This window comes from Homo sapiens, chromosome 17 (assembly GCF_000001405.40).
Source record: "Homo sapiens chromosome 17, GRCh38.p14 Primary Assembly".
NCBI classification, from domain to species: domain Eukaryota; kingdom Metazoa; phylum Chordata; class Mammalia; order Primates; family Hominidae; genus Homo; species Homo sapiens.
Window position 1 is genome coordinate 7288263 of NC_000017.11, and position 24345 is coordinate 7312607.

Consider the following 24345-nt stretch of genomic DNA (forward strand, 5'->3'; position numbering starts at 1 on the left):
GCCTGTTTTTGTTTTTACTGGAGGCTCAGGTGGCACATGACAGATCATAAAATGGCTTCAGAGGTAGGGGGCCGGGGGAAAACAAAAATAAACTTGGGGTGGGGGCAAGAAAAGCAACCAGGAGGAGGTAAGAGCTGGCTGGTTCCTTCTCAGCCTGAGTTACGGGAGGGAGTTGCTGTCTCTGAACAGTAAGGATGGCTCCCTTCCTTCAACCCTTGATAAGGGGAGGGAAGAAAAAAGAAAAAGCAAAAGGCTGCTGCTTTGGTCCTCCTGAGTCTCAAGGAAAAGGTGAAAAGCTGGTGTTTTGATGTCATGAATTATGGGAAAGGGGGAGCAGGGTACTGGGTAGGGTACAGGTCATTTGGAAAAACTGGCAGATACCTGAGAGAGAAAAGGAAATGGACGGATTGTGAACAACAGCGACTTGTCATCGCCACCCAGTACCTCACCTTCCTGGCCACCCACCCAACTGCACCAGCCACTCACCAGATGGCAGCTCTGGGTGTCCTCTGAGTTGAGTTGGAATCACTCCAGGATGGTGGTGGTGGGGTCCCCACTGTTGACAGGGGCTGAGGTCTAAAGAACAGCGGTGGCCAATTGAGACTTGTTCTTTTTGTTTTTGAGACAGAGTCTCACTCCAGGTTGGATGGAGTACAGTGGCGTGATCTTGGCTCACTGCAAACTCCCCCTCCCAGTTCAAGTGATTCTCCTGCCTTAGCCTCCCAAGTAGCTGGGATTACAGGCATGTGCTACCACGCCTGGCTAATTTTTGTATCTTTAGTAGAGACGGGGTTTCTCCATGTTGGTCAGGCTGGTCTTGAACTCCTGACCCCAACTGATCTGCCTGCTTCTGCCTCCCAAAGTGCTGGGATTACAGGCATGAGACATCGCGCAGGGCTGAGACTTGTTCTTCAGGGCCCTGAACTTCAACCTTCTTTCACTTTTTCCCTTCCCATTAAAACCTCAATCACACCCCTCAGTTCACATCTACAAGCTGGTAGGATGGCTCCAGGCAGCAAGTGGGGGATGGGTTGGGGGGGGCATGGCCATCATGGGCAATCATGGGCTTGATTGCCTCTGTGGGGGCTTCCTGGTGGGAGGCGGCACCTGCCAGGGGGGGACCCAGCAGGCTGCATGGAAGAGGGTGGTGGCAGGGCCAGGGCAGGGGAGGGGAGGAGCCAAAGGATAGAGTAGGAAAGAAAAAGGAGCAGGTGGGGGAGGGAGCTGGTCTCAGCCTTTTCTTTCATCCCACATCTGAGGTCCTCACCTCAGGGGCTGCGGGCTGCCGGGGGCCAGGGGCCTGCTGGGGGCCAGGGGCCTGCTGCCGTCTCCGCTGGAAGTAGGGGCGGTTTCGTGGGCGCTGGGGCTCAGGCCGGGAACCATCAGCGGGACCTTGGCTGGGCTTGGTCTCACCATCCCCACCTTCTGTGGTAGGCTGCTGGCGTGGCCTGGGGCGGAAAGGCCTAAGGCAAGGAACAAGGCTCTGAGGGGACCAGGGAATACTCCCTCCCCAGGGCTCACCCAGCTGCCCCACCCCACCTCCAGGAGCCAGGCTTCCAGCCCATGAGCACTGCCTCCCCGCAAGGCACCTGTCTCGCCAGGAGCCCAGGCTCTGCCTAGAGCTTCACCCTTCCATCCTCCTGTCCCTTGCCCCAAGGATCCAACACTGGAAGGGGAAGACCAAGCCCCAGCAGGGGGGTCTTACCTTCGGTACCTGGGCCGGAATCTGGGCGGGGGGACTCGCTCATCTCCCTGCTGTTGGTGCCCCTCCAATGGGGCTGTCTCTTTGGGTTCTACCCTGTCAGTGCCCTGGGAACATGCAAAGGCCCCGGTGAGCTGTGGGGACAGCAGCTGCTCTGGAGCCAGATTATCCACAGCTCTGCCCAACCCTCAGTTCCTCCTTCTTTGGGGACCCATGGTCTCTATCCTAACTCCCACTCCTCTCCTGAACTTGGGGAACTGGCTCCCATATTCCAGCATCCCCTCACCTCTATAGGCTGCTGCTGGTTGGGAGGCCGGGGGCCTCGCACAAACCGCCGTCGGTAGAAGAAGGGTGGGGGGCACCATCGTCGGGGCCGTTGCCCAGAGTCTTCAGCCCGCTCCCCTTTACTGCCAGGTCCTGTCCCCGCCGAGGGGATCTCTGCCACCATGGGTGGTGGGGCAACTGAGGGAGGCCGGGGGATGAATCGGCGGGACTTACGTCGGTTGGGGGCATAACGGCTGCCCTTCACGGGTACTCCCCCAGGCCCAGTTACATTAGTGGCTTCTGCGCCCTGGGAAGGTGGTAAGGGAATAGTGAGAACCTGCTCCAACAGCCAATGTGCATTTCCCAACTTGCTTCCCCTTCTTTCAGGGGAAGACCCCTCTCCAGCTTTCCTTTAGCTCCTCTAACTTCTTTCTACCCTCCCTGGAGAGGCAGTGGAATGTGCTTGCACCCATTTGGGAAGGAGCAACATGTCCTTTTGAAATAATTGCTACTGCACCCTCCTGAGTATACGACTGGGTGGAGAAAGGCCTGGCAGCCAGCATCCACCTTTTTACTCCAGAGGCGGACTCGGGAAGTCTAGGACAGGGCCCCACGTGGAGAACGGATGTCGAAGTGCTTGGTGAACTAGAGAAGAAACCCAGACACTGCCGACCGATGACAGGGACATACTTAGGACATCCCTTAGCCCTAGCATTAAGGAAGAGGACATCAGGGTGAGAGAACACAGTCCCATTCCCGCAGAACGGGTCAGAGCTGGCCCCAGGAGGGTCTTAGCCTGTGATGACCTCCAGGCCACCCTCCCGTAAGCCTAGTCAACTCTATACCCCATAGCAGTCCCCAAACCTTCTCTCCTTCCACGACATCAAATTCCACAGTCTCCCCATCTCCAACGCTGCGCAGAAACTTCCTGGGGTTGTTTCTTTTAATAGCTGTCTGATTGGGGAAAAGGCCATGTGAAAAGTGAGACAGCAAGACAGGAGTCTCTGTCACCCCTGCTGGGGCCACCACCCAATTTCATTCTTTCAACATTTGACTTGGGGTCTAGAGCTGGAGGGTGGAGCAAGGAGGTGGTCAAAGTTTAGCAGGGGAAAAGTCCTGAACTCAGGGCCTCAGCAGATTGTGCAGTTACCACCATCCCCAGGATGCACTCCCCGCACCTCCCCTCCCGCCCCGCTTTACCCCTCAGGGATTTCAGAAAGGGAGGCAAGAAATATGAACTCCAAAGCAAAAGGCAGGGACAGCCTTCAGTCGCAAAGTGGGTAGAATGCACTGTGCTTCTTACCTCAGTCCCAGTGAGAGCTCTTTCCACCAAGCAGTGGTTCTCAAGCTGTAGCGTGCATCAGAATCACCTGGAGAGCTCGTTAAACCGATTGTGGAGCCCCAGCCCCAGCTCTGATTGATTCACCAGGTCTGGGGTGGGACCTGAGAATTCGGATGTCAGGTGATGCTGCTGCCGCTGGTGCAGGGGCCACGCTTTGAGAACCACTGCACCCAAGGACCTTCTCCCTCTGAAAACTGCCTCAGTGCTTCCTGGAGTGTTAACAGGTCCCGGTGGGTAGTAAGCGTGCCATGCCCAGGGGTAACATGCTCAATTCTGACGGACGTTTAGTAACCCAGCACAAGTGCGGCTAATGGTGGTTGACACAGGCACCCAAGGCGGATGGGCCGTTGTGAAGAAGAGCCAGAGAAACATGGCGGAGCGCACTGCTAAGGATTACAGCAAAGGCCTTCAAAGACGGCCGGTTCTTCCCCTCAGAAAGCTAACCTAGCTCTTACCTGGTGAACAAAGACATCTTCCTTGGTGTCATTCCTGCAGAACAGGATGGGTCGTTAAGGAAGGGACTTCAACAAAGCCCTCAGCTCCTCACTGAGGTCCCCCTAGATGCCCAGTCTAAGCTCAGTGGGCCCATCCTCTCCAGCATTCCAGTTAGGGGTGGACATGGCCTGGGGAATGGGAGGGAGAGCCAGCAGGGCCCCCAGAAGCTGGTGTAAAGAGAGATACACCTAAAACCTCAGTGCCAAACCTGGACTTCACAAGGAAAGGGCAGGCTGGGGAGGCAAAGGCACCTTGAGGAACCTCAGACAGCTCTGCCCCTGCCGGGACTCCACCTTCCACCCCAGGCTAGCCTTACAACCTGCCAGCGCTGGGTGCAACTGTCCCTGGCCAACACCCCCTCCCCCAACCCCCATCAGGGTTGGAAAATTCCAGTCTTCTTCCTTCTATAGTCAAGGAGGCAGAAAGTGCAGATGGGGCCAGAGGGGCAGAACAAGTTTGAGAAGGGAACAATGTGTCAGGAACTTGCTCTAAACAGCTGCCAAACTTTATTCTCATCCTCAGCCTGGAGGTGAATCCCAGAGTCAGGACCACTCTCAACACGCGTGGGACCAAGGGTGAGAGAGAAGAAAACATTCACCCATTCTCTATCATAAGAACCCCAGTGGGTGGGGGGAGGGGAGAAAGGAAAAGTTTTCCTGGAGGCACTCTGCCCCCGACCCAGTCTGCCATTTCCAGAATTAGACAGGGACCCTTCCCCAGAACAAACGTTTTAGCTTTAAAGCACTTGGATCTGCACAAAGGTCAGCCTGCTAAGAGGGAACTAGGGCCTCCCAGGAGAGCCAGGCCGGGCAGGATGCCTGGGCTGGGGAAGGGCCCACTGGGGGAGACCTGGCTCTGCTCAGAATCCACTGCCACAGCCTCTCCCGGTGCTGAGGGGTGGGGCTGCCTACTGAAGGAAAGCAGCAGCCTCTGGCTCCTTCCTCCTGACCCCCACTGTCAGCCTCAGTCCCAACAGGTGGAGGGCTCGAATGAGCCACAGCTCTTTAAGGGAGTTGAGTTGTGAGTGCTGCCATAACAGGAAATCAGTTGAGGATTCCAGCCGGGGGCCCTGAGGCACAGAGAACCCTATAATACATTCTGCCCCAAAGGCATGTCAGAGTAAAAGTAATGAAGCAATTCCAGAAGGTGAGATGAGAAGCTGGCAGGGTCAGAGCCAGGTTTGCCAAGTTCCTGAATCATTAATCCTCCGCTACCCTTGAAGATGCGGAGGAGGCTTCCTCTTGTCACGAAGCACACATTTGTGCTGCGGTTAAAGGCTTTCAACCAGCATCAGCTGGACATTGCAACCATGTGCCTCCGCAGGGGTCGATGAGGTTGGGCGGGTGTCCAGTCCCACAGGCCAGCTGGGAAGACACCCATTCCACCCCCGCCCTGGGTTCCTTGGATACCTGTTGATGAATCCGTAACCATTCCGGACGTTGAACCATTTGACAGTGCCCAGGACTTGGATTGCTGCCAGGCAGAGATGCAGTGGGGACAGTGAGATGGGGGGAAGAGATGGAGTTGAACTCAGTTTTGAGACACTCCAAAACAAAAAAAAATCTAGCCTACTGCCTTATTACCTATTCAGGTTACCTTCAAGCCAACCAGGTTTCACTAGTAGCTTCAAGGTATTCCTACCCTAGTCCACCAAATGAAATCACCCACACAGGGACTCAGGCTTTCAAAAAGCCTTCCAACTCTAAGTCACGTTCCCCACATCCTACAAATCCAGCCCCTTCACCTAGAACTGGGTACTCACCTGGTCTGCAAAGTGCCGCCCCCAGGTCATAACTGAGGGTTTTTCTAGCCCTCCCAATGCAAGGGTCCCCAGTGCACCTGCTTGCCAGGCTCAGAGGTTTGCCTAGTTCTAACCCAGTCAACTAGGCACTGTGTCCCGCCCGGGGGCGTGGCCGGACCCTGGGGCTTTATTCTCCACCCCAAGACCTTAGCTGAACCTGCCGGCCCCGCCCTCTCTCCCAGGAAGGTACGGCAGGATTTCCCACCAGGGGAATCCACTTTGGTGCGCAGCTCCCAGCCCAGTTAGCGCTCTGGGCCTGCGGGCCAGGCCGCCTTTGGTTTTCCGGATCCTGCCGGGCTCCACACTGCCCCTCCCCCAGCCCGCCGACCCCTCAGAGCCGCCCTGTGCGCGCCTGCCCCTCACCCAGCACCGGCTTGTCCGCCTGACTCCGGGCCGGGGGGGCGGGGGTTCCCGAGACCGCCGTCGCCGGATTGCCAGGGGTGCGGGAGCCCGGCGCCGAGGGGGTCCCAGCAGCGGGGCCCGAGGCGGCTCCGCCCCCGCCGCCCGCCCCGCCGCCTTTCTGCGGCTCCCCTGCGGGCACCGGTACCACCACCGCTACCACCCCTGCCGCCGTCGCGGGCACCGTCGCCGCGGGGACCGCTGTAGCCCCCGCTGCCGCCTCCACCTCGCTCATCCCGCCGGGTCCAGTACCGGCCACAGCCGCCACCGCCCCGGCCCCTCCCCCCGGCTCGCGAACCCACCGCCCTGCTCGGTCCTCGCGCCCCGAGCCTCGCCCACACGCCGGCAGCGGGCCCGGAGCCGAGGCCAATGGCAGCCCGCTGCCGCCGCTCGCGCAGACCCCGCCTCCCGACCACGGGCCAATCCCAGCCCAGCAGCACCCCCGGACCGCACGCCGACCCCGCCTCCCGGACTTCGCACCGCGGCCCCGGCCCCCGCCAGCCGCCCAGTAAGTACACCTGGGCCCCGCCCCCTGGCCGCCACGTGACGGCCCCCGGCCCAACCCATTGGCCGGCGGCCCCTTTCCCCTCCCCCCTCCGCCCCTTTCCACCGGCCGCGGGAAATCAAACGGGCCGGTCGCGCCCCAACCGCCACCTGGCCTCTGCGGGAAGGGCGGGGCCGGGGCCGCAGTGCCAAGGTTGCCCCTAACGACCTGAGCGAGGGGCGGGAATCTGCAGCCTCGGTTCTGGCAGTGAGTAGCACCGCTCGCCTCCACCCTCGAGACCGACCTTGCCCGTATGCTGCCAGGTGCAGACGCCTTCCGGCCACCACCGCCCTTGGCACCCTCTCCCCACAGGACGGCCCTGCACACCCTGGGGCTGCGGGATCCAACCGCAGGATAGGCTGGAAAGCGCAGCAGAATGGTTTTCCCGGCTCACACTTGCTCCCATGAGCCAGGACCCCCTACTTTTCTTTTTTCTTTCTTTTTCTTTTCTTTTCTTTTTTTTTTTTTTTTTGAGACAGGGTCTCGCCCTGTCGCCCAGACTAGAGTGCAGTGGCGCGATCTCGGCTCGCTACAACCTCCGCCTCCCTGGTTCAAGCGATTCTCCTGCCTTGAGCCACCTCAAGGTGGCTCCCGGCCTGCCCCTACCTATGTTTGTATTGGAAACAAGGTTTACAAGTAGTACAATGCGCAATTCTTCTTCGCTGAGTTTGTTTGTTTGTTTGTTTTGACACAAGGTCTCCCTCTGTCGCCCGGGCTGGAGCGCAGTGCGCGATCTGGGCTCACTGCAGCCTCTGCCTCCCGGGTTCAAGCGATTCTCCCTCCTCAGCCTCCTGAGTACCTGGAATTACAGGCTTGCGCCACCACAACCTGGCTAATTTCTGTATTTTTAGTAGAGATGGGGTTTCACCATATTGGCCAGGCTGGTCTCGAACTCCTGACCTCTGGTGATCCGCCCGCCTCAGCCTCCCAAAGTGTTGGGATGACAGGGTAAGCCACCGTGCCCGGCCTTCGCTGAGTTTTGATCAATGTGTCCACCCATGTGGCCCATACCGACCGCTGCAGCTCTGATGTCTACCGCCCTAGACTGGCTTTGGGGTCTCTCACGTCTGTATGCCGGGGGCTGTGGTCTCCGGCCAGGCGTCAAGCTCCAGCGGACTCGAGGCCTTTTGCACATGCGGTTTCCTCTGCCGAAAACGCGCCTTCGTGTCTCCAGGTGGCTCTCTCCAAGCAGCAGCTTACGTGCCACTCTTCGCCATCACACCATTCCTTATTTTTCTAATGGCATTTTTGAAAATATGACATGATCCTGACCATTTGCTTATTTTATTTCCCTGCACACAGTGGGCTGTAAACTCCACAGCAGTAAGAGCCTTGTAGTTAAGCTGGACGCCTGCAGCAGTGCCTGGTACAACGTACACGTTCAATATTTATCGAATACATGAACGGCCCCCATTCCACAGATGAGAGGACTGAGGGGCAGTGCGAGGCTTGTACCAGGTTTCTCGGGAGCCTGGGAAGATTAAGAAAATGGGCCGGGCGCGGTGGCTCACGCCTGTAATCCCAGAAAAACGAGGCTCCAGCAGTATCTCCTCCCTAGGGCCGCCTCCCCCACCAGGGAGGACGCGGGTGCGCGTTGTATTTTTAGCCAGGGCAGCGCGCCCCGGGGCAGCACACGTGCCCCCAGGCGCTGCTGGGCAAGCCCCACGTGCGCTTCCCAAGGGCTGGCGTCCTCCGCGTCTCCTTCGCCGCCAGCTGCCCGCAGCAGCCGCAGTCGCCTCTCCCGGTCCCGGCGCGCCCTCTGCCGGCCGCTCCCGGAGGCCGCCGGATTCCGCTTCCTCGCTGACCCTCCACTTGCTATCTATCGCCCGCCGCACCCCTCCGGCCCTTTCAGAGTTGAAGATTCGGATTTCCGGGGCATCGGGCACAGTGGACAGAAAAAGAGAAGAGACAAGAAAACAACTAAGTAGCAAGACGAGGCCGTGAAGCATACAAGAATGACCACTGGCCTTAGACTGTTAAGGACCGACTTACCCGTGCCTAGCCCTGAGCTCAAGAAATTGGAGAAGCCTAAGACCAAGACTGGGGAAGGCAGGCAAGAAACCTCACAGTGTGACCGCTGCAGCAAAAGAATCACATGGAAGGCGGAGCTCAGGAGTGGGCCCGTTAGCTACAGGCTGGAGGGTGAGAAGAGAGGACCTAGGAAGGGAAGCTGAACCTTTTTGTAGTAAGATTAAGAAAATGGCCAGATGTGGTGGCTCACACCTGTAATCCCAGCATTTTGGGAGGCTGAGGTGGGTGGATCACCTGAGGTCAGGAGTTCGGGACCAGCCTGGCTAACATGGTGAAACCCCATTTCTACTAAAAATACAAAAAATTAGCCGGGCGTGGTGGCGTGTACCTGTAATCCCAGCTGCCTGGGAGGCTGAAGCAGGAGAATCGCTTGAACCCAGAAGGCTGAGGCTGCAGTGAGCCAAGATCATGCCATTGCACTCCAGTTTGGGCAACAGGAGCGAAACTCCGCCTCAAAAAAAAAAAAAAAAAAAGAAAGAAAGAAAGAAAAAGAAAATGGGGCGGGCGCGGTGGTTCACTCCTGTAATCCCAGCACTTTGGGATGAGGAGGCCGGTGGGTCACCTGTGGTCAGGACTTCGAGACCAGCCTGGCTAATATGGTGAAACTGCATCTCTACTACAAAATACAGAAAATTGGCCGGGTGCGGTGGCTCACGCCTGTAATCCCAGCACTTTGGGAGGCCGAGACGGGCGGATCACGATGTCAGGAGATCGAGACCATCCTGACACGGTGAAAACCCGTCTTTATTAAAAAAATATATATATATATACAAAAAATTAGCCGGGTGTTGTGGCGGGCGCCTGTAGTCCCAGCTACTGGGGAGGCTGAGGCAGGAGAATGGCGTGAACCCGGGAGGCGGAGCTTGCAGTGAGCCGAGATAGCGCCACTGCACTCTAGCCTAGGCGACAGAGCCAGATGCCCTCTCAAAAAAAAAAAAAAAAATTAGCCCGGCATGGTGGTGCGCGCCTGTAATCCCAGCTACTCAGGAGGCTGAGGCAGGAGAATCGCTTGAACCCGGGAGGCAAAGGTTGCAGTGATTTCAGTGATCTGAGATTGCGCCACTGCACTTCAGCCTGGGCAACAGAGTGAGACTCTGCCAAAAAAAAAAAAAAAAAAGTGGCCAGGCGCGGTGGTTCACACCTGTAATCCCAGCAATTTGGGAGGCCGAGGTCAGGAGATCCAGACCATCCTGGCTAACATGGTGAAACCCCGTCTCTACTACAAATACAAAAAATTAGCTGGGCGTGGTGGCAAGTGCCTGGAGTCCCAGCTACTCGGGAGGCTGAGGCAGGAGGATGGCGTGAACCCAGGAGACGGAGCTTGCAGTGAGCTGAGATCGCGCCACTGCACTCCAGCCTGGGCGACGGTGCGAGACTCCGTCTCAAAAAAATAAAAAAGAAAGAAAAGAAAAGAAGAGAAAATGTGAGGATGTGAGGAGACCAGAGGTGGGAGCATTGCAGGGAAATGTACTCCTGGCTGTTGAAACAACAGCTACACTGGCAACAGCTCAACAGCTATGTGCTCTCCATCCCCATGGAGGAGAATTCGCAGATACCACGGAGCGATGCAGCTCATTGTCCTCTTCAGTTGAAGGATTTGTGCATGTAATTTTCTTTTTCTTTTTTTTTTTCTGAGATGGAGTCTTGCCCTGTTGTCCAGGCTGGAATCCAGTGGCGCTATCTCCGCTCACTGCAAGCTCCACCCCCCGGCTTCATGCCATCCTCCTGCCTCAGCCTCCCCAGTAGCTGGGACTACAGGCGCCTGCCACTATGCCTGGCTAATTCTTTTGTATTTTTAGTAGAGACGGGGTTTCACAGTGTTCGCCAGGATGGTCTCGATCTCCTGACCTCGTGATCTGACCGCCTCAGCCTCCCAAAGTGCTGGGATTACAGGCGTGAGCCACTGCGCCCAGCCTTTCTTTTTCTTTTTTGAGACAGGGTCCCACTCTGTCACCCAGGCTGGAGTGCAGTGGCACAATCTCAGCTCACTACAGCCTCCACCTTGAAGGCTCAAGTGATCCTCCCATCTCAACCTCCCACCTGTAGTTAACTGGCCCACTCCTGAGCTGGGACTACAGGCACATGCCACCATGCCCGGATAATTTTTTTGAACTTTTTGTAGAGAGGGGGTTTCACCCTAGTGAACTCCTGGGCTCAAGCCATTGCCCACCTTGGCCTTCCAAAGTGCTGGGATTACAGGTGTGAGCCACCAAGCCTGGCCATAATTTTCTGGTTATTTAAATATTTTTAAGTACTATAGATAACAAGGGCTCCAGGAATTCTAGTGAAAAGGCTTCCTTCTTTTTCTGTCGCTTCCTTTCCATTAGTTCCTGCTCACCTGAAGTGTTCTTTACCTGACTGTTTTGTTCATTACTTAAAAACAAAAACAGGCTGGGTGCAGTGGCTCATGTTTGTAATCTCAGCACTTTGGGAGGCCAAGGCAGGAGAATTGCTTGAGCTCAGGAGTTCAAGACCAGCCTGGGCAACATAATGAGACCCCGTCTTTTCAAAAAATACAAAAATTAACTGAAGATGGTGACATGCACCTGTAGTCCCAGCTACCTGGGAGGCTGAGGTGGGAGGATTGCTTGAGCCTAGGAGGTCAGGGCTGCAGTGAGTGGTGATTGTGCCCCTGCAGTTTAGCCTGAGTGACAGAGTGACACCCTGTCTCAAAAATAGAAATAAAAAACAGGCCGGGCGTGGTGGCTAACGCCTGTAATCCCAGCACTTTGGGAGGCCAAGGTGGGAGGATCACTTGAGGTCAGGAGTTCAAAACCAGCCTGATCAACATGGTGAAACCCCGCCTCTAATAAAAATATAAAAATTTAGCCGGGCATGGTGGCACATGCCTGTAATCCCAGCTACTGGGGATGCTGAGGCAGGAGAATTGCTTGAATCCGGGAGGCGGAGGTTGCAGTGAGCCGAGATCATGCCATTGCATTCCAGCCTGGGCAATAAGAGTGAAATTGCGTCTCAAAAAAGAAAACAAAACAAAACAAAATCCTGCTTTCTCGACTATTGCCCTGTACCTCTCCATTGTTTGAACAACAAATTTCCTGAAACCAGTCTTTGCTGTGTTTACTTCAACTTTCTTTCACAACCCACCAACCCAAATCTGGTTTCTGCCCCATCACTCCACTGCGACAGCTTCAGCAATGCCCCACTGTCCCTTCTCAGTTGAGACGTGCAGTGGATGGCTTTGGTTCCCTTTGGACTCCGTCAAATGAAGTGTTCCTGCCACAGCTTCCACAACCCAACCTTCCCTGTCACCTCACACCTCTCCTGTTATGCTTGTTCTCCTTCTCCAACCCCACTGTTTCCTAGGCCATGTTTTCCTGTCTTCTCTTTTTTTTTGTTTTTTTGAGATACAGTCTCACTCTGTCACCCAGGCTGGAGTGCAGTGGCACGATCTCAGCCCACTGCAACCTCTGCCTCCCGTGTTCAAGTGAATTTCCTGCCTCGGCCTCCTGAGATAGAGTAGCTGGGATTTCAGGCACGCCCAGCTAATTTTTGTATTTTTAGTAGAGATGGAGTTTCACCATGATGGCCAGGCTGGTCTCGAACTCCTGACCTCAAGTGATCACCCACCTCGGCCTCCCAAACTGCCAGGATTATAGATGTGAGCCATCGCACCCAGACAACCCTTCTTTAGATTGTTCTATCCATTTCCCTGGCTTCGGTGACCACTTTCTGATGGCTCTCAAATTTGTGTCTCCACTCCTGAGTCCCTCCCACCTTCTGCCAGATGCCCAAGTCAGGGAGTCTCTCCAGCCAACAGCTCCTCAGGCTTCTGGAATTTGATGCATCCAAGTCTAAGCTTCTCTTTTTCCTCCCTCCGTTCTCCCTCCTCACTGAGTTTACGTCATCACCACTTATCCACAGTCATTTTGCGTAGAACAGTCTCCCTGGAGGCCCAGGATTAGCACAATAAAGGTGAAGATTTGTGTGATCAAACTGAGATAATATTTGAACGATTGAAAAAATGGTGTCAGCTGAGTGCGGTGGCTCATGCCTGTAATCCCAAGACTTTTGGAGGCCAAGGTGGGAGGATCGCTTGAGCCCAAGAGTTTGAGATTAGCCTGGGCAACATAGCAAGACCCTGTCTCTACAAAAACTTAAAAAAAAAAATTAGCCAGATGTGGTGGTGCACCCTAGCTACTCAGGAGGCTGAGTTAGGAGGATCACTTGAGCCTGGGAAGTCCAAGCTGTGGTGGGCCCTCTTCACACCACTGCACTGTAGCCTGGGCAACAGAGCGAGACTCCGTCTCAAAAAAAAAAAAAAAAAAAAGAAAGAAAGAAAGAAACAAAAGAAAAGATGATGTCACCTCTATCCCCTGGTGCCATCTACTCCCAGAAACTTTTCACTCCAACTTTTTTGTTGCAGCCCAAATCAGAGTTTACCTCTTCTCTGTCCTAATAACTACTCTCTTATTTCCCAACAGCAACAGTGTTTCATACCCACACTGTCCATCTTATCCTCTCACATTTATTTATTTATTTATTTATTTATTTATTTATTTATTTATTTATTTATTTTTGAGACGGAGTCTCTCTCTGTCACCCAGGCTGGAGTGCAGTGGCGCGATCTTGGCTCACTGCAAGCTCTGCCTCCCGGGTTCACGCCATTCTCCTGCCTCAGCCTCCCGAGTAGCTGGGACTACAGGCGCCCGCCGCCACCACGCCCAGCTAATTTTTTGTATTTTTAGTAGAGACGGGGTTTCACTGTGTTAGCCAGGATGGTCTTGATCTCCTGACCTCGTGATCCGCCCGCCTCGGCCTCCCAAAGTGCTGGGATTACAGGCGTGAGCCACCGCGCCCGGCTGGCACATTTATTGATTGATTGATTGAGACAGAGTTTTGCTCTTGTTGCCCAGGCTGGAGTGCAGTGGCGCACTTTGGCTCACTGCAACCTCTGCCTCCTGGGTTCAAGTGATTCTCTTGCCTCAGCCTCGCAAGTAGCTGGGATTACAGGTGTGCACCACCATGCCTGGCTAATTTTTGTATCTTTAGTAGAGATGGGGTTTCGCCATGTTGGCCAGGCTGGCTTTAAACTCCTGACCTCAAGTGATCTGCCCACCTCGGCCTCCCAAAATGCTGGGATTACAGGCGTGAGCCACTGCGCTTGGCCACACATTTATTCTTTAGCTGCTCTTTCCACTGTCCTTCCCTCTTTGCAGGCTGGGCTAGCACTCTGTCAAAGCCTTGACATTTTCTCCAGCCTCTACCTCCTTGTCTTATCTGCTGTATGTTTTTGTGTGCATTTTCAATTTCCCTAAATAACATCTTGTTATAGATTTCGTTCTGATCTTATTTGCAGTTAGTACTATGTGGTTAAAATCCACCCATGCTCTATGATGATCAAAGCTATTGCTGCGCCATGCTCTGCAGTATGAGTTGTGCCACATTTTACCTGCTCACAGTTCCACTGAGGAGCACCCATGGCACCTCCAATTCTCAACCACAACAAATAATATGGCACTGAACTTTTTTTTTTCCAGACATGGTCTTGCTCTGTCACCCCAGCTGGGGTGCAGTGGCATGACCAGGGGTCACTCCAGTCTTGACCTCCTGTGCTCAAGTGATCCTCCCACCTCAGCCTCCTCACCTCAAGTGATCCGACTACAGGCTCATGCCACCATGCCTGACTAATTTTTGTATTTTTAGTAGAGACGGGGTTTCACCATGTTGGCCAGGCTGGTCTCAAACTCCCGACCTCAGGTGATCTGCCCACCTCGACCTCCCAAAGTGCTGGGATTACCGGTGTGAGCCACCGTGCCTGGCCGAATCATTTCTCTCTGTTTTGTTTTGTGTGTGTTTTTTTTTTTTTTTTGAGCCTCCCTAGCAGCTGAGATTACAGGCATGCGCCACCACACCTGGCTAATTTTTTTGTTTGTTTGTTTTCTTTTCTTTTTTTTTTTGAGGTGGAGTCTCACTCTGTCGCCCAGGCTGGCCTGAGTGCAGTGGTAGGATCTTGGCTCTCTGCAACCTCTGAAGCCCGAGTTCAAGCAATTCTCCTGCCTCAGCCTCCTGTGTAGCTGGGATTACAGGCACCTGCCACTGCGCCTAGCTAATTTTTGTATTTTTAGTAGAGATGGGGTTTCACCATTTTGGCCAGGCTGGTTTTGAACTCCTGACCTTGTGATCCACCTGCCTCAGCCTCCCAAAGTGCTGGGATTATAGGCGTGAGCCACCTTGCCCGGCCGAATTATTTCTCAAGGAGGAAACTTCTTTTTTTTTTTTTTTTTGAGACAGAGTCGCCCAGGCTGGAGTGCAGTGGTGCGATCTCAGCTCACTGCAACCTCCGCCTCCTGGGTTCAAGTGATTCTCCTGCCTCAGCCTCCTGAGTAGCTGTAACTACTGCCCGAGTAGCTGGAACTACTGGCACATGCCACCACGCCCGGCTAATTTTTTGTATTTTTAGTAGAAATGGGGTTTCACCGTGTTAGCCAGGATGGTCTCGATCTCCTGACCTTGTGATTCGCCCACCTCGGCCTCCCAAAGTGCTGGGTTTACAGGCGTGAGCCACCGCGCCCGGCCCAAGAAGGAAACTTCTATGTGAACAGAAGAGAAATGCTCAATATATAAATTAGAAAGAAGGTCAGGCTAAGTGTGGTGGCTCACGCCTGTAATCCCAGCACTTCGGGAGGCCGAGGAGGGTGCATCACGAGGTCAGGAGTTCAAGATCAGCCTAGCCAAGATGATGAAACCCCGTCTCTACTAAAAATAGACAAATTAGCCAGGCGTGGTGGCAGGTGCCTGTAATCCCAGCTACTCAGGAGGCCGAGGCAGGAGAATCGCTTGAACCCGAGAGGCGGAGGTTGCAGTGAGCTAGATCGTGCCACTGCACTCCAGCTCGAGTGACAGGGCAAGAATCCGTCTCAAAAAAAAAAAAAAGTAATAATGTTGCTTTGAACATTTATGTACAACATTTCTGTTTTTTTCTTTTCTTCTTTTTTTTTTTTTGACAGGGTTTTACTCTGTTACCCAGGCTGGAGTGCAGTGGTGTGATCACAGCTCACTACAGCCTTGAACTCCTAAGCTCAGGCAATCCTCCTGCTTCAGCCTCCCCAGTAGCTGGGACTACATGTACATATGACCACGCCTGGTTAATTTTTGTGTGTGTGTGATGGAGTTTTGCTCTTGTTGCCCAGGCTGGAGCACAACGGCATGATCTCGGCTCATTGCAACCTCTGCTTCAAGCTATTCTCCTGCCTCAGCCTCCTGAGTAGCTGGGATTACAGGCATGCGCCACCACACTAGGCTAATTTTGTATTTTTAGTAGAGATGGGGTTTCTCCATGTTGGTCAGGCTGGTCTCAAACTCCCGACCTCAGGTGATCCACCCGTCTCAGCCTCCCAAAGTGTTGGGATTGCAGGCGTGAGCCACTGCGCCCGGCTATTCTAGATGTTTTCTAAGAGTGGAATCATAGAATATGTGACCTTTTGCATCTTGACTTTTTTCACTTAGCATAATGTTTTCCAATATTCATCCAGTTATAGCACGTACTTCATCTCTTTTTATGGCTAAATAATATTCCACTGTATAGATATACCACATTTTAAAAATCCATTCATCTATTGACAGACATTTGGGTTCTTTCCACCTTTTTTGCTACTGTGAATAACTGCTGCTAATGAACACTCACATGCCCGGATTTGCTTTTTTTTTTTTTTGAGATGGAGTCTTGCTCTGTTGCCCAGGCTGGAGTGCAGTGGCGAGATCTCAGCTCACTGCAAGCTCCACCTCCCAGGTTTGCCATTCTCCTGCCTCAGCCTCCCAAATAGCTGGGATTACAGGCGCCCACAACCAGGCCCGGCTAATTTTTTTATTTTTAGTAGAGGCGGGGTGTCACCGTGTTAGCCAGGATGGTCTCCATCTCCCGACCTCATGAGCCGCCCGCCTCGGCCTCCCAAAGTGCTGGGATTACAGGCGTGAGCCACCGCACCCGGCCCGGATTTTCTTTGAGTACCTGTTTTTAATTCATTGGGAGTATATATACGTTGGAGTGGAATTGCTGGGTCACATGAACAATACATACTTTGCTTTGAGAAAAGCAGGTGTTGGACTTTTGAACAATGTACTCACAAAGTTGTTTGCGTTTTTTTGTTTTTGTTTTTGTTTTTTTTTTTTACAAAGGAAAGGGCATGAATTTCAGAAAATTGAGGGGAAGTAGCTGGGGGTTAGCATAACAGGCTACACAAATGTAGTAATTCAATCTAGTGTTTGCAGTTCACATGTATCGTGTCACAAGACTTTTTTTTTTTCTTTTTTAAGAAACAGGTTCTCTGTTGCCCAGGCTCAAGTGCAGTGGTGGGGATTATAGCTCAATGAAGCCTCGAACTCCTAGACTCAAGCTATCCCTCCACCTCAGCCTCCCAAGAAAGAGTAGCTAGGTCTACAGGCACCAGCCACTGAGCTGAGCTTTTCTTGTTTTTGTTTTTTTAATTTTTTATTTGTAGAGATGGGCCGTTGTTATGTTGCCCAGTCTGGTCTGTAACTGCTAGCCTCACGGGAGCCTCCCACCTTGACCTCCCAAAAAGCTAAGACTACAGGTATGAGCCACTATGCCCAACCCATGTTGCAGAATTTTTGCAACGTCCTGAAAAATTGGGAAGTTCAGGCATCATTATTATTCTCATTTTATGGGAAGAAAATTAAGGCAGAGCTATCTGAAGTAATTCCTTAAAGACACAAAAGAAGGATGAGATCCCAAGATCTTTGGTCGCTTGTTTCTGTCTTTTTTTTTTTTTTTTTTTTTTTGAGATGGCGTATTGCTCTGTCGTGCAGGCTGGAGTGCATTGGCGAGATCTCGGCTCACTGCAATCTCCACATTCTGGGTTCAAGCGATTCTCCTGCCTCAGCCTCCCGAGTAGCTGGGATTACAGGCACGCACCACCACGGCACGGCTAATTTTTGTATTTTTAGTGGGGACGGGGTTTCACCATGTTGGCCAGGTTGGTCTGGAACTCCTGACCCAAGTGATCTGCTCGCCTTGGCCTCCCAAAGTGCTGGGATTACAGGTGTGAGCCACTGCGCCTGGCCGCTTGTTTCAGTCTTGTTATCCAACAAGGCAGCCATGAAGGTAGTGCAAGAAACCCAGGAATTGGAAGAAGACTACGAAGTTTCAGGAAAAGCGAAATGGGGGGCGGAGAGAGGGAGGGCAAAGAAAATAAAGTTGGGAAGATAGCTCGTCTCCAGCTTCATGGTCTCCTATGATTAAGACAATGTCAATGTAATCTAACATACCACTTTTTTTTTTTTTTTTTTTTTTTTGAGACAGAGTCTCTCGCTGTGTCTCCTAGGCTGGAGTGCAGTGGTGCGATGTCGGCTAACTGCAACCTCCGCCTCCTGGGTTCAAGCGATTCTCCTGCCTCTGCCTCCCGAGTAGCTGGTACAGGCGCCCACCTCCACGCCCGGCTAATTTTTTTGTATTTTCAGTAGAGACGGGGGTTTCACTACGTTGGCCAGGCTGGTCTTGAACTCCTGACCTTGTGATCCGCCCGCCTCGGCCTCCCAAAGTGCTGGGATTACAGGCGTGAGCCACCGCTCCCGGCCTACCACTATTTTATTTTATTTATGTATTATTTATTTATGTTTTTGAGACTTGAGTTTCGCTCTTGTTACCCAGGCTGGAGTGCAATGGCGCAATCTCGGCTCACGGCAACCTCCACAGGAGAAGCGATTCTCCTGTCCCAGCCTCCCGAGTAGCTGGGATTACAGGCATGCGCCGCCACGCCCGGCTAATTTTGTATTTTTAGTAGAGACGGGGTTTCTCCATGTTGGTCAGGCTGGTCTCGAACTCCCGACCTCAGGTGATCCGCCCGCCTCGGCCTCCCAGAGTGCTGAGATTACAGGTGTCAGCCACCGCGCCCGGCCCACCACTCATTTTTATAGACAATTTTTTCTAAGGGACCTCGTAGACAATACTTTGGGGAACCGCAGAGCACAGTTGGGGAAAACACAGTAATACCATCTAAGTTTCTTTACTGAGGACCTCAGAGCCGAATGGCCTCTATGGATGCCATAGAGACCAATACGGACTGAGGGTTTAAAGAAGATGGTGTCCGCCGCAGGACCGCTCTATCTTCTCGGGTGAACTCTATGGCAGAGCATAGGCATTCGATTTAGAGAAGTGAAGCCGAGATGGGTGGGAACCCGACCACACTAGCGCGCTAGAAGAGTGGGGCGGAAAGACATCTCCCGCGCATGTGTGGAACTGGGGGGACTGATTCCAAGACAAGGCGCCCACCCCACAGAGCAAGTTTTCTGAAACGTGTGAGTCGTTTAAGTCCAGTTAAAGCCGAGGTGGGGCGTATCCTGAGACGCATGCGTTCTAGACGAGACAAGTGATCTAGCGGCGTGGTCTTTTCAACGCCTGGCGTACTGACGGCGTCTGAGGTGGAAGGGGTTGTTTAGGATTCCGAACACGCATGCGTTCTGAGACCCAGGCGTTTCCTTTAGAGGGTGTGGAGTGCAGGGCTCCTTATTGCGCAGGCGCAAGGACTGCCCGGTAGGACGAGCGGTCTATCAAGGGGAGGGAAGATGAGGTTGAAGAGATTAAAAAACCGGGTGCGCCTGCGCGTTGCAGATTAGTTGAAAACGCTCAGGGTTTGTGAGGGGCGGGGTCACGTATGCGCGTCATTGGACGGGTCGGTGGGAGGGAGGGTGGAGATGGGTAGGGTGTGTGCGCTTGCGCAGTGCGGGGGTGGAGGGCGGAGGAGATAGATAGCACGCTTGCGCGGCTGTCATAGGGCTGCTTGGTTGGTCAGTGGGGAGTCGGCGCCTGCGTACTAAGACCCGTGTGCAGCAGCGGCGGCGGCGGTAGAGGCGGCGGCGGCGGCGGCAGCGGGCTCGGAGGCAGCGGTTGGGCTCGCGGCGAGCGGACGGGGTCGAGTCAGTGCGTTCGCGCGAGGTGAGAGCGGGCAGGGCGCGTGTGCGCGGTACCTTGGCTTGGGCCCGGGAGAAGATGGAACTGCGCGGGGGTCGGGGAGGGGGCAGAGGGGAGCGGCGGCCGCCGCCGCACGGGTTCGGCCAGAGAGCGGCGCGAGGTGAGGAGAGGCGCGGGCGCGCGCCCCGGTTGGCGCGCGGGGTGACGGTTGGGGTTGGCCCGGTGACGTTGGAGCGACGCAGGGCGGGGGACGGCGAGCCGCGAGGCAGCCACGCGGGAGAGGCCGCCAGGCGGCCACGCCGGGGCGAGGGCCAGGGGCCAGATCGGCCCACCGGGGCAAGGGTACCTGGGCCGTTGAGGACCCGGCTCAGCGCGGCCACGTGAGGTGGGGGAGGGGGCTATTCGGTGAGAGGGCATGATGGGGGGGGTTGGCGGACGGCCGGGGGGAGGGGAGGCGGCGTGGCTCCGGCCTGGCGCAGTCTCTGAGGAGGGGGCGGCCGCGGCACCGGAAGTGCCCCCCACGGGAGGCTGCCCTCGGGGTCGCAGGCCGCATGGCCAAGCGTGGACCGGGGCCGCATGGCAGCGCGGGGACCCCTCCCCCCAGGTCCCGGCCACCGGAAGCCCGGAACGGCCACATGGTCGGCAGGAGCCGGCAGCCCCTAGCGCGGGGAGCTAGTCCTCGCGGGGGTTCCGAGGGGGCCTGAGATTTTGAGGAGTGGAAGCCGGAGGCTCGGGTCCTAATCACCCCGGAGGGCCTGCTGCAGGCATATGTTAGCGCTTCCCAACCTCAAGGGCCCCAGGAGCTTTCCTGAAAAACCCTCCTGTGAAGTGTGGCGGTCAGCCAGGTGTAAGTGGCACCCCTTCGAGCTGGGAGGCCGGAGAAATGGGGAAACAGGGCGTTTGGACAGGAGCCCAACTTTTCTGTCGGCCTGGGTGGACAGCGCCTAAAAGCCTCAGGCAGATGAGTTTCCCACCGTGATAGGCGTTCTTCACCTTGTCACTGTCTTCCTGTTGTAACTGGTTTGGGAGTTCCACGGTTTCGAAGTCCTTAACTCTACTAGCCTAGTATGATTTTCTACTACTCACTACTACCAACCTTTTGCTTTCATTTTATTGTCATTCACCACCCCCCACCTCTCCCACTTTCTACTGACTGTACTGGCCCGGCCTGAAAAGCCGACAGGACAGATGCATCCTGGGAAAAGTGGGAGGGCCTTCCAGGAGAGGCTGGGTTCCTGGGTTCTCTTTGGGAACCAAGATCGAGGTGTTTGGCAGGGGGATCATTTCGGAAACAACTTTGCTTTCTCCCCCTTGGCTTGTTGCAAGTGCATGTTGGCGAGGCGGGAATCCCCCAAAGAGGCCTTGTGGTTTCCTGTAGCAGTGACTGGTTTGTGTGTGGATGGGGGGGGGCAGTGTAACAGATGGGTGGGGCCTTGTCCTCCGGTCTCCACCCTCCCCCCCCCCAATTAGCCCTGCCCTTTTGCTGGATCATAGCTGCTCACCTAATTATAGCCCTGGCTATATGTGGGGAAGAGGGGTGGTTGGTTTCAGTGGCAAGTAACACCTGAGTCCTCCCCACTCCCAGGAAGTAGGCCTTTTCTCATCTCTGAGATTTGACATTCCAGCTCCCTAGAGCCTTCCTTTCCCAAGCCACCACTTTAGCTTTGATTTATGGGGGAGAAACCAGCTATTCCACCCTCCCATACACACACCAGTTCTTGAGTATATTTGAGCCCAGTCAGTATTTTAAGTTCAGGAACTTTGACTTTATTTTAGGTGGGTAATGGAATAAAGAGTTGGGAAAATGTTTCTGGAGAGAAATGGGATAGATTGGAGGTCCTGTTGACCTCCATGCTTATTCACTTCAGTTCTCTTCTTGGCTCTAGTTGGAATCGAAGCCTCTTAAAATGGCAGATGACTTGGACTTCGAGACAGGAGATGCAGGGGCCTCAGCCACCTTCCCAATGCAGTGCTCAGCATTACGTAAGAATGGCTTTGTGGTGCTCAAAGGCCGGCCATGTAAGATCGTCGAGATGTCTACTTCGAAGACTGGCAAGCACGGCCACGCCAAGGTTAGAATTTCACCTCCGCATCTTGCCTTCCCCATGCCTCCAGTATCTTTGGCGCTCCCAGCAGCAAGCTGCCAACAGTGCTGACTTTCCTTTAACTCTGCTTTTACTGTCTGATTGTTTTTGTTTAGCGCTCAGCCTTCATACCCATTCAGACAACTACACCTGCTCCCCAGTCTTCAGCCTCTTCTGTGGTTACCCTTCTGTCCCCGCATCATTCTCTGGCAGTCCCTCCGTTTCTCCAGCTTTGTGCCAATCTCTTCAATTCATAGGCCTTTATGCTCTAGCTATTCAGTTGCTCCTTCCTTATTCTTGGTTTTCACTTTTTCTTTCTTCCCTTGAGCCGTTGTTAAGTGGTTGCTTCCATCACGTTGCCCAGGGTTTCTCCAATTCTACGCCTTCCCCTGGAGGGACTCCTGCGTCAATTCTGAGCTTTCAGGTCACCTTGCTGCTTCGTTCCCCAGTTCTAGCTTTCCCTTTGGAACTCTGACGCAGGATCAAACTGCCCCTACCTGCCCCATCCCACTCTCCTTGGGTTCCTTGAGCCTCCATGCTTTCATGGGTTTTAACATTCTTGCTAGCACTTCCCTCATCACCTCAGACTTTTCCTGTCTCTTTAGAATTTCAACCTGATTCGTTCTTGTTGAATTTCTTGTGGTGTTTTTCCTTAATCAGTTTTTCCATCTTTTGACTTGACATTGATCTTGGATTATTCTCTAGTGTCTGGATCCCTCTCTGTGCTCTTCTGGCTTCCTTATTTTCTAGCTACATAGTTATTTCTGATCTCCCTGCAAGTCCTTTTCTTCAGCTCTTTCACATTTCTTAGTTTCTTATCCTTTCCCTTCTACCTTCCTTATTCCCCAGTTTCTCAGCTCCTTCTCCTGGTGTCCGGAAAACTCTTCGAAACTTTTACTCAGACTCCTCCCACTCCCCTAGACTCTTAGCATCTTATCTTTTATCAAGGTAACTGTCTTCTCCAAGCCTGCCATGCAGTTTTCTATTGTGCTGTCAACCCCAATCTCAACGGTGGTTTTTTAGCCTCTGTTTTTTTTCTTTAAGAGGCTTTACTGTTTCTTGAGTTGACTGGTTCAATTCCAACACTCCAGTCTTTGCCCCAACAATGTAATTCTGACTTCCCTCATCAGGCAAGGTCAATTTGAGCCTTTATTTCCTCCGTTTTAGAGTTTGGTTGGGTTTCTCTTTGTGATGCATACATACAGGTCCATCTGGTTGGTATTGACATCTTTACTGGGAAGAAATATGAAGATATCTGCCCGTCAACTCATAATATGGATGTCCCCAACATCAAAAGGAATGACTTCCAGGTATGTAGATGGTCTGGATGAGGATGGGTTAGCGGTTTATGGTGGAGGGAGGGGTTGGGGGATAGGGACTGACCAGGAGAGCTTGTGCTGGGAGAGAGGAGGGAAATGGCAGGAGAGGGTGTTTGGTATTAGTTTGCTATCAGTCCAGTTTGTCTATCAGAGCCTTTACTGTCATGTCAGCCTCCCTGGGCCTACTACCTTCAGCCTCCTTCCCTATCTGCCCCCAGCTGATTGGCATCCAGGATGGGTACCTATCACTGCTCCAGGACAGCGGGGAGGTACGAGAGGACCTTCGTCTCCCTGAGGGAGACCTTGGCAAGGAGATTGAGCAGAAGTACGACTGTGGAGAAGAGATCCTGGTATGGTGCCTCCCTCCCTGCTTCTGTGCTCAGCTTTGTTCTGTACGTTTCTTCCTGAGCTCAGACATCTCTTGGCTATCCCTCTTGCTTCTCCAGATCACGGTGCTGTCTGCCATGACAGAGGAGGCAGCTGTTGCAATCAAGGCCATGGCAAAATAACTGGCTCCCAGGTGAGTGTGACAAATCCCTCACTGTCCCCTTCACATTTTGTTGTCCTCAGCAGAGCTGCTGTAGTCTTAATTGTTTCAGGCTTACTTTCTGCCCCTAGCCTGGCTCTGTCCTCCCTATCCTTCCTGTTGAAGGTATTATCCTGTCTTACTAATTTCTCTCTCCTACCTAGGGTGGCGGTGGTGGCAGCAGTGATCCTCTGAACCTGCAGAGGCCCCCTCCCCGAGCCTGGCCTGGCTCTGGCCCGGTCCTAAGCTGGACTCCTCCTACACAATTTATTTGACGTTTTATTTTGGTTTTCCCCACCCCCTCAATCTGTCGGGGAGCCCCTGCCCTTCACCTAGCTCCCTTGGCCAGGAGCGAGCGAAGCTGTGGCCTTGGTGAAGCTGCCCTCCTCTTCTCCCCTCACACTACAGCCCTGGTGGGGGAGAAGGGGGTGGGTGCTGCTTGTGGTTTAGTCTTTTTTTTTTTTTTTTTTTTAATTCAATCTGGAATCAGAAAGCGGTGGATTCTGGCAAATGGTCCTTGTGCCCTCCCCACTCATCCCTGGTCTGGTCCCCTGTTGCCTATAGCCCTTTACCCTGAGCACCACCCCAACAGACTGGGGACCAGCCCCCTCGCCTGCCTGTGTCTCTCCCCAAACCCCTTTAGATGGGGAGGGAAGAGGAGGAGAGGGGAGGGGACCTGCCCCCTCCTCAGGCATCTGGGAGGGCCCTGCCCCCATGGGCTTTACCCTTCCCTGCGGGCTCTCTCCCCGACACATTTGTTAAAATCAAACCTGAATAAAACTACAAGTTTAATATGAAGCCCCCAACTCAGCTGCTTATTTGAATTAAATGGGTGTATTTGGAAGCCACAAAAAGACTGAACTCTGCCACTGAGTTCACTGGAACCCGCTGTCTATCACTTTGACTTGCTGTGGACCTGCCAGCCATCCCCCCACCCTCCAAGCAACCTT

General features: G+C 53.8%; 2 protein-coding genes and 1 long non-coding RNA gene across 16 annotated transcripts, besides 13 other annotated features; 1 reads left to right on the plus strand and 2 right to left on the minus strand.

Annotated features, from left to right (window-relative positions):
- YBX2 (Y-box binding protein 2) lies at positions 1-6377 on the minus strand. 2 transcript variants are annotated; one of them, XM_017024713.3, is made up of 10 exons: positions 5968-6377; positions 5213-5276; positions 3764-3797; positions 3270-3314; positions 2831-2920; positions 1989-2273; positions 1706-1809; positions 1268-1463; positions 487-576; positions 1-381 (listed from the first exon to the last, which is right to left on the minus strand). In XM_017024713.3, exons 1-9 carry the CDS (start codon positions 6236-6238, stop codon positions 526-528), a joined length of 1140 nt encoding a protein of 379 aa, XP_016880202.1. In that variant the 5' UTR covers positions 6239-6377; the 3' UTR covers positions 1-381; positions 487-525. The 2 variants fall into 2 exon arrangements, with proteins under 2 accessions (XP_016880202.1, NP_057066.2); NM_015982.4 differs by lacking the exon at positions 3270-3314.
- Positions 5729-5904: a silencer, noted in NCBI's record as "fragment chr17:7197310-7197485 (GRCh37/hg19 assembly coordinates)". NCBI's record gives its function as "represses an EF-1alpha promoter that drives an FKBP-Casp9 reporter gene in an ReSE screen in HepG2 liver carcinoma cells {active_cell/tissue: HepG2}" and the evidence as "EXISTENCE:reporter gene assay evidence [ECO:0000049][PMID:32094911]".
- Positions 6322-6441: a silencer, noted in NCBI's record as "silent region_8101". NCBI's record gives its function as "represses an Ori minimal core promoter by ATAC-STARR-seq in GM12878 lymphoblastoid cells {active_cell/tissue: GM12878}" and the evidence as "EXISTENCE:reporter gene assay evidence [ECO:0000049][PMID:35858748]".
- Positions 6472-6641: a silencer, noted in NCBI's record as "silent region_8102". NCBI's record gives its function as "represses an Ori minimal core promoter by ATAC-STARR-seq in GM12878 lymphoblastoid cells {active_cell/tissue: GM12878}" and the evidence as "EXISTENCE:reporter gene assay evidence [ECO:0000049][PMID:35858748]".
- LOC124903912 (uncharacterized) lies at positions 7816-8634 on the minus strand. Its single transcript, XR_007065602.1, has 2 exons — positions 8540-8634; positions 7816-8392 (listed from the first exon to the last, which is right to left on the minus strand). It is a non-coding gene; the product is annotated as an uncharacterized LOC124903912 (long non-coding RNA).
- Positions 8180-8339: a silencer, noted in NCBI's record as "silent region_8103". NCBI's record gives its function as "represses an Ori minimal core promoter by ATAC-STARR-seq in GM12878 lymphoblastoid cells {active_cell/tissue: GM12878}" and the evidence as "EXISTENCE:reporter gene assay evidence [ECO:0000049][PMID:35858748]".
- Positions 8560-8609: an enhancer, noted in NCBI's record as "active region_11608". NCBI's record gives its function as "activates an Ori minimal core promoter by ATAC-STARR-seq in GM12878 lymphoblastoid cells {active_cell/tissue: GM12878}" and the evidence as "EXISTENCE:reporter gene assay evidence [ECO:0000049][PMID:35858748]".
- Positions 17680-18491: an enhancer, noted in NCBI's record as "H3K27ac-H3K4me1 hESC enhancer chr17:7209261-7210072 (GRCh37/hg19 assembly coordinates)". NCBI's record gives its function as "activates a minimal SCP1, AML or CMV promoter by ChIP-STARR-seq in naive H9 embryonic stem cells {active_cell/tissue: H9 hESC(naive)}" and the evidence as "EXISTENCE:reporter gene assay evidence [ECO:0000049][PMID:30033119]".
- Positions 17680-19322: a biological region, named in NCBI's record as "H3K27ac-H3K4me1 hESC enhancers GRCh37_chr17:7209261-7210072 and GRCh37_chr17:7210073-7210883".
- Positions 18363-18662: an enhancer, noted in NCBI's record as "active region_11609". NCBI's record gives its function as "activates an Ori minimal core promoter by ATAC-STARR-seq in GM12878 lymphoblastoid cells {active_cell/tissue: GM12878}" and the evidence as "EXISTENCE:reporter gene assay evidence [ECO:0000049][PMID:35858748]".
- Positions 18492-19302: an enhancer, noted in NCBI's record as "H3K27ac-H3K4me1 hESC enhancer chr17:7210073-7210883 (GRCh37/hg19 assembly coordinates)". NCBI's record gives its function as "activates a minimal SCP1, AML or CMV promoter by ChIP-STARR-seq in naive H9 embryonic stem cells {active_cell/tissue: H9 hESC(naive)}" and the evidence as "EXISTENCE:reporter gene assay evidence [ECO:0000049][PMID:30033119]".
- EIF5A (eukaryotic translation initiation factor 5A) lies at positions 18737-24201 on the plus strand. 13 transcript variants are annotated; one of them, NM_001143760.1, is made up of 6 exons: positions 18737-18853; positions 21353-21538; positions 22756-22860; positions 23088-23219; positions 23316-23389; positions 23560-24201. In NM_001143760.1, the coding sequence occupies exons 1-5, from the start codon at positions 18785-18787 to the stop codon at positions 23376-23378; spliced, it is 555 nt and encodes a 184-aa protein (NP_001137232.1). In that variant the 5' UTR covers positions 18737-18784; the 3' UTR covers positions 23379-23389; positions 23560-24201. The 13 variants fall into 13 exon arrangements, with proteins under 13 accessions (NP_001137232.1, NP_001357349.1, XP_016879790.1 ...); NM_001370420.1 differs by having other exon boundaries at positions 18740-18851; NM_001970.5 differs by lacking the exon at positions 18737-18853 and adding an exon at positions 19366-19490.
- Positions 19213-19322: a silencer, noted in NCBI's record as "silent region_8104". NCBI's record gives its function as "represses an Ori minimal core promoter by ATAC-STARR-seq in GM12878 lymphoblastoid cells {active_cell/tissue: GM12878}" and the evidence as "EXISTENCE:reporter gene assay evidence [ECO:0000049][PMID:35858748]".
- Positions 19683-19852: a silencer, noted in NCBI's record as "silent region_8105". NCBI's record gives its function as "represses an Ori minimal core promoter by ATAC-STARR-seq in GM12878 lymphoblastoid cells {active_cell/tissue: GM12878}" and the evidence as "EXISTENCE:reporter gene assay evidence [ECO:0000049][PMID:35858748]".
- Positions 19943-20062: a silencer, noted in NCBI's record as "silent region_8106". NCBI's record gives its function as "represses an Ori minimal core promoter by ATAC-STARR-seq in GM12878 lymphoblastoid cells {active_cell/tissue: GM12878}" and the evidence as "EXISTENCE:reporter gene assay evidence [ECO:0000049][PMID:35858748]".
- Positions 20533-20822: an enhancer, noted in NCBI's record as "active region_11610". NCBI's record gives its function as "activates an Ori minimal core promoter by ATAC-STARR-seq in GM12878 lymphoblastoid cells {active_cell/tissue: GM12878}" and the evidence as "EXISTENCE:reporter gene assay evidence [ECO:0000049][PMID:35858748]".
- Positions 24202-24345: the final 144 nt, after the last annotated feature.

Coding starts and splice junctions, on each gene's coding strand:
- YBX2 (XM_017024713.3), bottom strand. CDS start 6,238: ATGAGCGAGGTGGAGGCGGCAGCGGGGGCTACAGCGGTCCCCGCGGCG. Junction 2,274..2,830: donor ATGTCGTGGAAGGAGAGAAG/GTTTGGGGACTG, acceptor CCACCTTCCCAG/GGCGCAGAAGCCACTAATGT. Junction 1,810..1,988: donor ACCAGCAGCAGCCTATAGAG/GTGAGGGGATGC, acceptor GCATGTTCCCAG/GGCACTGACAGGGTAGAACC.
- EIF5A (XM_017024301.3), top strand. CDS start 21,381: ATGACTTGGACTTCGAGACAGGAGATGCAGGGGCCTCAGCCACCTTCC.